This window comes from Homo sapiens, chromosome 20 (assembly GCF_000001405.40).
Source record: "Homo sapiens chromosome 20, GRCh38.p14 Primary Assembly".
NCBI lineage: Eukaryota > Metazoa > Chordata > Mammalia > Primates > Hominidae > Homo > Homo sapiens.
The window spans coordinates 48,726,464-48,738,715 of NC_000020.11; the positions used below are offsets into that span (position 1 = coordinate 48,726,464).

The 12,252-nt window shown below is 48.5% G+C and overlaps 1 protein-coding gene across 4 annotated transcripts in view; it reads right to left on the reverse strand.

Moving 5' to 3' along the window:
- Positions 1–12,252, reverse strand: part of PREX1 (phosphatidylinositol-3,4,5-trisphosphate dependent Rac exchange factor 1) — a 263,934-nt gene that overhangs the window by 102,212 nt on the left and 149,470 nt on the right. For all 4 annotated transcript variants that reach the window (XM_047440333.1, NM_020820.4, XM_047440332.1 and 1 more), the window contains one exon: positions 8,083–8,187. Coding sequence is in view for 1 of the 4 variants with exons in the window: in NM_020820.4 (NP_065871.3) it covers positions 8,083–8,187 (105 nt within the window). In the remaining 3 variants the exon portion in view is untranslated. The remainder of the gene's footprint in view (positions 1–8,082; positions 8,188–12,252) is intronic.

The window sequence follows — 12,252 nt, forward strand, 5'->3', positions numbered from 1 at the left end:
GAAACGCTCTCAGAGCACAGCTACAATCACTTGGCAAGCGATTTAGCGACCCGTAGAAGTGAAAACGTGCATCATCTACAACCAACACAAACCCTACTGGGCCAAATCTTGCCTACTCCCCATTTTGGTAAGTTTTATTAGAAACACAGCCACATCCATCACATTGGCTGTGGCCCCCTACAAGCTACAACGGCAGAGCTGAGTTGTTGGGGAAAAAAAGGCCATATAGTGGCAAAACTTAAAATATTGACTATCTGGCCTTTTACAGAAAAATTCACCCATTCCTGGTCTAGAGAAGCTTTCACATATACACACCAGGAGACTCAAAAATGCCTTGCTTACAACAGTAAAAAATGGGACGCGACCTAAATATCCATCACCTGAGAATGGAAACATCTGTATTTTTGTTTCAGTCTGTTTGCAGCAGATTTATACAATGGTAGCTAGCTATGCAGCAGTTAAAATGAGATAACCAGGGCCACACGTAGCAACACGGGCGAACCCCAAAAATGTACTCTTGTGCAAAAGAAAGAAGGATATGTACAGTATGAAGCCACTTACAGAGATCTTTTAAAGACATGGCACATAAAACTATGCGCTGTTTATGGAGAGCATGTATGAGGTCAAATATAAAGACATGCGTGTTAAAGGAATGCACCCAATTCCAGTGGGGGTTCCCTCTGTGGAGGGAGAGTTTTGGGTTGGAAAGTGAACCAAGAACCTTCAACTGTTACTGAAAATGTCCTAGTTCTTTAGCTGGGAGGAGTGTACGTGATTCTGTCATATGCATACCTCTATTTTGGCTTGCAGAGTTAAAAAGTACAGCTCTCTTAGGAATGGAATACCGTTACCCTAACTCCCACGCTCAGCCCTAAGCTCCTGTCCACATGAATCAACCCAGTGTTCTCCATGTCAATACTTCCGCCCTGCAGCCCCCTTGCCTCTCTCGGCTCATTCCATGCCTCTTCTCTGGAATGTATTCTCTTCCCCAATAAAAATAATAATAATAATAATACTGCTATCATCCATCGTAAACACTGACCAAGAGCTAATCATGTGTCCAGCAGGCCTCTAGGGCTCCCAACCACCAACCACCCTATCAACTGAAAACTATGATTATTCTCATCTCACAGCTTAGATCCCTGGGGTGTGAGAGGTTTAGTCTTTTACTCCAAGACCATCCCAGAAAAGTGAGTCACAGAGCTGGGACCTAGAGCCAGGCGGGTTGACACCGAGTCTGGGATTGAAACCATGATGCCCATGTGCCCTTACCCCAAGCCCACCCATGCACCAAGGCCATCCCTGCCACCCAACCTGCTCTCAATTCCCAGGACTTCTTCCTCCTAGAGCCTTCATAGGTGGCCATTTGTTCCACGTGGCTCTCAATCACATTACAGGCACTACCCTCTCCTTCAGAGAGGCTCCAACTTAAGAATCCATTTTTGTTTGGCAGGAACCATGAGTTCTGCTGTGTTTCCCTGCCATGCCCTTCACAGTCCTGGGTCCCTCAGGCTCACTATGTGCCCATTATGTGTAAGTGAATGAACTAACCAACTAACTAATGAAGGAACCACCCACCAGCACATCCAGCCATTCCTCCTCAACACCACCCTGGCAAACTGGAAATGAATCCAGACTCTTGGGAAAAGGGATTCCCATCCTATCATTTATTCATTCATTCAACAAATACACATTGTGTGCTGTGTGCTGTGTGCTGTGCACAGTTCCAAGCACTGGGGGGCTGCCCAACAAAACAAATTCCCTGCTTATATTCAAGTGAAAATAAGACCATAAGAACACATACCATGTGCCCACCATATGCCACACGCTGTGCCTTGTGCTTCACATACACAGAAAGTTCATGCCGAAAGCCTAAGGAAATAAGCATGGACCACTGTCCCCTACCACACATGGGGAAATCGTGGCACGAAGAGCTGGCCCAAGTCTCAGAGCTACTTCCACTGCCTCTTAGGGATCACAATAAGCTCTGCCTGGAAAAGCAGAATTCTGGGGACCCCAGGTCCCAGCTCTAGCTGAGCTGAATGGCCCCCACCAGTGTTTACCCCTGGCACAGATGGGGGATTGAGGCTGCGGCAGCTGGGAGATGCCGGGCCCCACGCTGCTCACACTCAGGCCTTTGTCCTAGGAGCCAGCACTTGCCACAGGCTGCCCTGGTGATGTCAGCTCTGGGCAGAGTGCAGGGCGCCTGGGGGTGGGGAAGTGCTTTCTAGAAGCCCCCAGGGCTTGGCGTGAGAAGGGCCCATCTTTGTCCAGGATCAAGGAGTTTTCACAAGATTTTCACAGCCACCAAGGACACTTCCCCACAAACACTCTAGATTGTGGTTTCACTTTATTTTCTTTTAAAAAAAAACAAAAACAAAAAAAACAGGCAAACACACACAGAGCTAGCATTCACTATTCTCACTACATTTCAGGCACTATGGGAAGAACTTCTGAGAAGTCCTTAAATGCTCAAAATTCACAGAAGTGAGTTAGATGAGGCGTCAACCTCATGGTCTTCCCAACCTCCTAATGGCAGCACGTTCCTGGACTATCCTGAGTCCTCCCTTTCTGCCCATGCTGCCCCCCTGGCTGATCCCACCCTGACTCGGCTTTTTTTTCTTTTTTTTCCTGGACAGAATCTCATTCTGTCGCCCAGGCTGGAGTGCAGTGTGCAATCTCGGCTCACTGCAACCTCTGCCTCCTAGGTTCAAGTGATTCTCCTGCCTCAGTCTCCTGAGTAGCTGGGATTACAGGTGCACACCACCATGCCCAGCTAATTTTTGTATTTTTAGTAGAGACAGGGTTTTGCCATGTCATCTAGGCTGGTCTTGAACTCCTGACCTCAGGTGATCTGCCTGCCTCGGCCTCCTAAAGTGCTAGGATTACAGGTGTGAGCCACCGTGCCTGGCCCTGACTTGGCTTTAAACACCATCTTTCTTTATATTGAAAACACTCAGGTTTATCTCTCTAGCCCCTAAACTCCCGACTAGAGTCTCTGCTGCCCCCCCAATGCCCCACCTGGATGTACTGCAGGTATCTTAAGCCTCACACATCCAAAAGGGAATGTTTATTTCCCTCTCCTACCCTAGCCTGCACCCTCTTGGGAAAATGCAACTCCATTCTTCCAGTTGCTTGGGCCCAAAACCCTAAAGTCATATTTGACTCCTCTCGTTCATTTATATCCAAAGTCAATGATCAGGCAAATTGTGTCAGCTCAGGCCCTCATGCTCTATGTGAATCCAACCACCTCTCCCACCACAACCACGCTGTTCGCAGACACCATCGCTTCCTGCCCGGACATTGCAGTAGCCCTGCAGTCGGTTGAATGGTGTTCCCCAAAATGCCAGGCCCCCACAAAACCTCAAAATGCAACCTTATTTGGAAATTGGATCTTTACAGATGTATGGTAATTAGTTAAAATAAGGTGATGCTGGATTAGAGGGGGGACCCTAAATCCAATGACTCATGTCCTTATGAGGGGAGAAGACACCAAAGAAGGCCATGTGAAGACAGAGGCAGAGATTGGAGCAATGCTGCCACAAGCCAGGGAGCACCGACGGCCGCTGGAAGATTAAAGAGGAAAGACAGGATCCTTCCCTGGAGCCCCAGGAGGGAGCACCCACCGACACCCTGATTTCAGACTTCTGGCCTCCACAACTGAAAGAGAATCAATTTTGTTGTTTTAAGCAACCCCATCTGTGGCAATTGTCCCGGTCCCCTAGGAAATGCAAACAAGACCCTCCCTGGACCTGCACTTCTACCCAGATACTAAAGGGGGGCCTTTCACCATGCAAATTAGCTTCATTCATGCCTCTGCTCAAAACCCTCCCACGGCTTCCCATCCCACTCAGAATAAAACGGAACATTCTCTAAGGCAAAGCCACGAGCTCCAACGTGAAGGGATCCCACAGAGCGATCCTACAGACATCATGCTGCGCAAAAGCCACCACACACACACACACACACACACACACACACACACGCACATCCTGAATGATGCCGTTCATAGACGATGCTAGAATAGGAAAAACTAAGCTTTGGTAAGAGAAGTCAGCAGAGGGATTCTGGAGGTCTGGGGGCCATGACTGGGAATGGGCAAGAGGGAACCTTCTGGAGTGATGGGAATGTTCTTCGATCTTGGTGGTTCCATGCTATAGACATATGTAAGCATTTGTCATCCTGGGGGTGGACTTACTGCATGGATGCTACACTTTAATTAAAAAGCTTTTTTAAAATCTCATACTTGGACTGGGCAGAGTGACTCACACCTGTACTCCCAGCACTTTGGGAGGCCAAAGAGGGAGGATTGCTTTAGCCCAGGAGTTCAACACCAGCCTGGGTAACATAGCAAGACCCCATCTCCACAAAAAAAAAATTAAAAATTAGCTGGGCATGGTGGTGCACACTATAGTCCCAGCTTCTCAGAAGACTAAATGGGAGGATGGCTTGAGTCTAGGATGTCGAGGCTGCAGTGGGCCATGATCAAGCCATTACATTCCAGCCTGGGTGACGCAGCGAGACCCTATCTCAAAAAGCAAAAACAAAACAAAACAAAAAATTTCAGACTCTTTCCATTGACTAAATGCTCCTTCATTACCTGGTTTCTTTCAATCTCTCTGACCTCATCTCCTCCTGCTTTTCCTCTTATGGCCTTCACTCTAGTCACCCTTGGCTTTCTTGCAATTCCTCAAACACACTCCTACCTCAGGGCCTTTGCACACGCAGGTCATCTATCTCTCTGAAATGCTACATAGCCCCTGCCTCTCTCTCTCTCCTTCACTTCCTCCACATCCCTGGTTACATGTCACCCAAGATGCAGTTTTCCCAAAGACCAATCTAAAACAGCATCCACCATCCTAACTTCCTCAAAACATCCTGTCACCCTTATTTTACATCCTCCAGAGAATTTAACATCACATTATCATTGAAGTTCCCCCGACTAGAATGGCCACTCTATGAGAATAAGGACTTTTCTTGCCTTGTTCATGTCGGATCTTTAGCCCGTAGAATGATCCCTACCGCATTATAGGTGCTTAGTAAGAAGTTGCTGGATGAGTAAATGAATAAATCATCCCCATTTTACAGACAAGAAAACTGAGGCAGAGAAAAATTAAGACACTACTCCATCATTCTCCATCACTCAGCTGGTGCCCAGCACAACATGGATGGAAAGCCAGATTCTGTCTGTTCCCAAAGCCTTAATGTCCCATAACAGACTCATGACAGCTCTTCTGCACGTGGCCAAAAGCTGGGAGACGCCAGCAAGGAGGGAGACAGATGGCACATGTGCTGGCACCCCACGCATCCTCCCCTGCCCAGACCGGCCCACCCAGCTGCTGCTAGGAATAGGGCAGTTTGACCCACCAGGAAGACTGCTTGAGATAGGAAGGAAAGAAAGAAAGAAGTCAGTCCTTCCCTTCCCTTCCCACACCCTGCACACACCTTCCTGGCATCTTCCTCCTTCCCAGGACCTAGCTGAACCTGAGGGAATACTGTCAGAGGGTGGGACCCTCAGCCAGGGAGCCCAGAGCCTGGGCAGCAGGGACTGTCACAGGGTGGTGCTGCCTGCAAGCCAACAGGTCAATGCAGACATGGCCATTTCTGTCCATGTGGGGTCTTGCAGTAACGTGACTTCATCTTTGCATTCTGCCCAGACTATTTTATGAATATAAGTGCAAACATGGAAATGTGAAGATGTAGGTACCGGCTATGAAAAGCAACAGTCCTGAAAGCTTAATTCACTTGAGACAAAGATGGAAATCAGTAAATCAGTCTGCCAATTTGCCCTTCCTCAGATGTTCACTGGAGCCGGGCCAAGCAACATGAACTCACTTGTGAAGGAAACACACATTTGGAATCGAAATTCTGGAACTACTTTGTTGGAGACTGAGTGAAGGAGAAGTGCAATTAGGAATATTATTTTATAGTTTAGCACTCTGGGAACGTGGTTCATACTCCGTATGCTATGTTAGTTAATTGTTCTACTTTTATATACTGAATTCGGTATGTGCTGTTGGGAAAACAAACAGTATGGGGGTGGAGAGACGTCTGTGACCGAATGAGAAGGGATTCAGAGGTGAAAGACTGGGACTGAAACCCAGGATAAGCTCAACCACTTTTCTAGGATGGACCCCTAGAAAGTCACTTAATATTGTGAAGTCATCAAAATCACCTGTGACAAAGGCTATGCAGTGTCCCCTAATGTATTCTTCTTCCACAGTGATCACATTTCTAGCTGGGCACATGGCTGCTCAGAATAAAGCCTGTATTTCCCAGCCTTCCTTGGATCTAGGGGTGACCATGTGGCTGAGTGCTGGCCGATGGGACGTGAGGGGAGGAGATGTGTGCAGCTTCCTGTTACGCCCTGAAAAGGAGAAGGGTATGCTCTCCTTCCCGCCCTCCCTCCACCCCACCACCTGGAAGTAGGATGTAGTCAAAGGTCATCTGAGACCAGGTCAATGAGCATCATAACCTAGGGCCTTAGCCCCTGACACTGGAGCCACTATACCAGCCCCAGACTGTCTGCACCCACACTGTTAACAAGAGGGAGAAATAAGAGCCCACCTTGTTCAAACCACTGTCCTTTGAGATGTCTGCAAAGCAGACAAATGTTTATCTTGACTCATACACAACAGATAGTGGTTTGAAAGGCTCAAAGGAGGTCACAAATGACAATCCGTTTTATACATAAGTGAGGCTCTCTACAAGTGTAGGGAAGACCATCATGGATGTCTACAGTTTTTCCTGACCAAATGCAAATGCAAATATACCCAGAAATGCAAACACAAATATCCCCAGAAATGCAAACCAACTGCTTTAGGGATCCACTCTACCCTTAGGCTCTATTGTATGGGTAGACCTGACCCCACCTTCCATCTCCAGAAGTGACCAATCAGAACACCACCACCAATTACTCTGTCTACAGCAATTGGTTCAGGGATAAGGTTTTGAGCCAACGAGCATCAGACCTAGGATTTTTGCTGTTACTATGGGGAAAGGGAAGTTCTCTCTATCCTGAAGCTGCTCAGCTATCAGAGGTATAAGTCTGGAGCTGCTGGAGGCCACCCTGTTACCACTTCGGGAGAGCCTGCCTGGGAATAAAGCCACAGCAGAGAAAAGGAGAGTCAAGAGACATACATTACTGATGACATCATTTGAACACCCAGACTCTGCCATCTCTGTAGCCCTCTCAGGTCTTAAACTCCCCAGAAAAGTAAATCCCTCTGTTGTTGTTGTTGCTGTTGTTGTTGTTGTTGTTTTGCTTCTGCCAGTTTTTGGGTTTTTTTGTTTTTTGTTTTTTTTGAGGCCGAGTCTCATTCTGTCTCCCAGGTTGGAGTACAGTGGTACCATCTCAGCTCACTGCAATCTCTGCCTCTCAGGTTCAAGCAATTCTCCTGCTTCAGCCTCCCAAACAGCTGGGACTAGAGGCACATGCCGCCACGCCCAGTTAATTTTTTTGTATTTTTAGTAGAGACAGGGTTTCACCATGTTGGCCAGGCTAGTCTTGAACTCCTGGTCTCAAGTGATCCACCCGCCTCGGCCTCCCAAGTGCTGGGATTACAGGCGTGAGTCCCCGCACCTGGCCGCTTAAGCCAGTTTTAATTGGATTTTCTTTCATTTATAATTAAATAATCCTAAAAATACTAGTAATCCTAATAACCATCATAATGACAGTAGTATTAATAATTACTACTCTTGCTGCCATTTTTAATAGAACCCTTACTTTAGACCAGGAATGGGCAAAGTCAACCCTAATCTGGCCCTCTGCCTGTTTTTGTAAATAAAGTTTTATTGCCACACAGCCACACCCACTCCTCTACACATTCTCTAGGGCTGCTTTCATGCTACAATGGCATGAGCTGAGTCGTGGTGACAGAAACTGTATGGTACGCAGAGCCAAAAATATTCCCCAGCTGGCCCTTTATGGAAAAGGCTTGGCGATCCCTGCTTTAGGCAGGAGATTACCCCAGCCAAGGAAAGGATTTGGCACCATGGGGCAGCATGAAGTCCTCTTGTGCCCAGATTCCACAAGGATGAGGCCGAGTGCAAGGGAGCACCAGGGCTGACGGGTCAACTTACCAAAAGGAAGGCGCGCACGGTAGGGATCTTGTTCAGCTCCACCAGCAGCCTCAGGGCTTTCTCATGGTTGCTGCAATACTCCTCGTACACGCAGAACTTGTCCTTCTGCAAGACAAGGACAGAGCCTGTGGGAGGCAGGTCATGGTAGCAGGCAGGTGCCCTGACACATGCTGACCACTGGGCTGGTAGGGTAGGGGTAAGGACTACCCTGACCCAGGAGAAGCTACAGCAGGAGGTATCTCAGGTAAAGCGGCTCCACTCACTACCAGCTTCCCAGCCTCCACTCTTGCCCCAGGTCTGCACTCAGGGGCCTGAATAACTTTTTGGGAAGCAGTGTGGCCTGGGGGTCAAGAGCATAGACTCAAGAAGAGCAGCCTGGGCTTGCACCACGGCTCTGTATTTCCTGTGAACCTGGGCAGGTTACCTGACTTCCCTGTGCCTCGGTCTCCTTATCTGTAAGGTAGAGTTAATAAAAGTCCCTAAGTCAGAGTTGTTATAGCTGGGGGCTAGCTCTGTTGACCTCCAGATGCCCCTGAGCCCAAAGATGTACTCCTTCCAGACTAAAGGTCACCTGTGGGTCACTAGGTCCAGAACCATCAGTCAGGGTTTCCCGTACTGGAAGAGACAGGAGCCTTCTTAGCAGGAAGCTCTCAACTGAGCATTCTTGGTTCCAGATGGTTCACAGAACCCGCCAAACCCTAAACAAGGATGGCGTGGGTGAGGTCACTGGAGGAGGAAGGGTTGCAAGGCCTCAATCCTGAGCTAGGGATGGGGGTGTGCAAGAGACCCGAACAAGCTAAGGAAGGAAGAGGTGGGTCCACAAAGCAAGCAGCTCATCTTGTTTCTAAACAAGCCCCCAGATGGCCTTCCGATGGGAGGCTGCAGGAAATAGGAAACCAAAGAGAAGGGAGGATGGGTTTAGAATTAACAGGCATCCCCAGCCCACCCCAGCTCACTCTGGGGGCTCTGTGTGCATCATCTGAGCAGACACCCTGAGCCACAAAGTGCCCAGGTCAGTGCTGATGGCTAACACAGAGTACATACCCAGCACATAGTACAGGCTGCCCAGCATGTAGTACAGGCTGCCCAGCATGTAGTACAGGCTGCACGCTGCTCTCCTGGAATGGGGGTGAACTCACTCATTCCCCACGACAGCCTTACATGGTAACTACTGTAACAGACTCACATACCCATGACAAAACCAAGGAAAAGTTGCTTCCCCAGGGTCTCGCCGCTAGTGCAGTGGCAGAACCAGGACTCAAACCCCCTTAACCCCAGTGACAGTGTCAGCTCAAGGTCATGGCATAGGGTAGGGATGGGAGTGGGAGGCAAATACCCAGGGTACAAATTTCAAGCCACAAATCTAGACTAAGCTGCATCCCAAGGGCACTACACCAGAATACTGAAGGGCACAGAGTGACTCCAGAAACCCAGTTCCACATTCCCTAAGTAGAGGGTGACCTTGGGCAAGTGCTTCTCCTCCCTAGGCCTTGGTTTCCTCACCTGCAAAATGGACATCATAACTGACCTTCAACACTTAGGATGCTGGAGGATGAAATAACTTAATATATGTGAAATGAGTAGAACGGTGTCTGGCACACAATACTTCACAATACTTCAATACCACACAATACTTCAAAGTACTCTACAAGTATTAACAACAAACATAAACACAATCGACAAACATGGATCAATGGGGGAAAATATCAGACAAACCATGTTACAATTACCCACAGTGCACCCCCATACACACACACATACCACAAGACACACAATCTTGATGCATATTCCAAGAAACCACACAATGATCTCAAGCATTACAGCATGCAAACTACATGCTCCAAACACCACCACCAATGTCAGCATGCACATGGACACATGCACTGAGTCACAAACCACCACTCACTCATCAAGTATCTGCAGTCCACTGAGATGCCAACACATGGCAAGGAAGGAGAAGAGGGGACCCCAGCACCCCCAACACTGCCCAGGCAGACCTTTTTCTATTCCCACTTGTCTCAAATGGGCCTAAGGGACCATCAAGGCCAAAAGAGCTGGGTGAGTAGATGTCTGAGCTGCAGGGGATCACTCAGCCGTAGGTAAAACCTTGTGAGTGGGGGCTGCTGGACACACCTGGAACCAGGATTTCAGCTGCAGACTGTGGTGATGCAGGCTGCAGGGAAGAGGAAGAGGAAGAAAGAGTACAACTATTTTGTTGTAGGTGACAGGAACTGGCCTGTCTGGAAACCTGCTCCTGCAGAGAAGACTTGCAGTGACATAAAAAGCCACCATGACCACTCTCACCAACCACTATCAGCATCAACCCTGTAAGTGCCAAGGAGAAGTTCTGCAGCCAGACCATCTAGGTTCATAGCCCAAGTCTCCCGGTCACCAGCTCTTGGTCAAGACAAGTAACATTTCTTGGCCTCTGCATTCTCATCCATAAAGTACAGACAACAATATCATTACCATAATGGTGTTGTGAGGATTGGCAGGTGAATTTATATTAAGGGACTTCCAATGGTGCATAGTAAGTGTTCACTAAATATTAACTAGTATTATTATTGCTTAATAATGTTGTTGCTATTATCACCAGCATGATTATTTCAGAAACTTCATTACCTTTTTTATTGAACAGGGTAGGGCAGTAGGTGGGAAGGTTTTGACAGCAAAAAAAAAAAAAAAAAAAAAAAAAAAAAGACAGGCAGAGTCAGGAGGAAGGCAGCAGATAGACTCGTGGGTTTAGGGAAAGCATCGGGAGGGTCCCAGGCAGATTTTGGGAATTATGATGGTCCCTGACCCCAGGATGTTTTACGTCTCATTCATGCACTGTCCTTCTCCCCTGAATCTCCTGGGACTGTCAGCTCCATCGGGACGGCGTTTTCATCTGTTGAGGTCACTGCTGTGATGTCAATGGGGTCAGCGGCCACTGGCAGAGAGCAGGTATTGTGACTATTTGATGAATGAAAGGAAGAAAAGAGAAGGAGGAACGGAGAGGCTAAAGGGCCCTCAGACCAGCTCTGTGCTTCTTCCCAGGCTGGTCCCACCCCACCCCAGGGACCATAAGTGAGCACATGACCCAGACAAAACCAATCAGAGTTCCCCGTCCTAATAACAGTGGCCATGTGACCCAAGCTGGGCCGCAAGAGCCCGCAAGGACTCGAGCTGGAATCACTGGGAAGAGAAACTCTCTTTGAGCTGCTGTTGAACCCCTGCCACCATGTGAGGCATGCACCCCATAAGCCCCTCCCATTCTCCAAGAGTGAAATCAGCACTGCACAGATAAAAGCAGAGCCTGAGATCAGAGAAAGACCTGGTCCTGAAATCATCATACGGAGTCCTGGATCTAGCTATGCCTGAAGCCAACCTACACTCCTGAACAATTTCACTGACATGCATCAGTAAAGTCCTGTATTTGTTTAAGCCTATCTGAACTGGTGTTTCTGTCACGTACAGCAAAGACAGTTTTGATACATGCACACTCTTAAAGGCAGAAAATGAAAGACATGGACCCAAATCTTAGTGAGGTGACAGGGTCTCTCTGTCCATCTCCACAGAGATGAAGGGAAGGGACTGGGCCAGAAAGCAGGGACAAATCGGTTTCTTCCCACATACCAACCCCAGTCACTGGGTAGTGCCAGCTGGAACACTGGTGAGGAGGATTCTGGGGCCCCACAGGAAGCCTAGAGACAGAATGCTGTGATTGATTAGGAATGTCTGCCACAGGTGCAGGAGAGGGGGTAACAAGCTCACCACTGGTTTGTCATTCCTCATCCCCTGAGCCCCCTTCTACGACAAGGTCTGCAATGTTTTCCTCTCCTTCAGCCTGTGGGAAGGGCAGGGGCCCAACGCTTGAGGCTTGGAGAAGTTAAATTTAGCAAAGGACAACATCCCCTCTGCAGCACCGTGCCCAGTTCAATCACGCCTGTGTCCTTTCATCCAGCCTGACCCCAGCTGCATCTCAGGCCTGAGACCCTGCAAATACGGAAACGCTGCTCTTGACAGCTCAGAGTCCAAGTGTTCCATTTCCTCCTGGAGGCCCGACATGGGGCTCTGATTGCTTTGCCAGGAAGAAACGGACAAACAGTTGTGCATACACAGATGTGGTGGGTACGGAACATGTGGCTGTGGGTTTGGGGGGAGAAGGGGACAGCTGCTGGCTGGAAACAG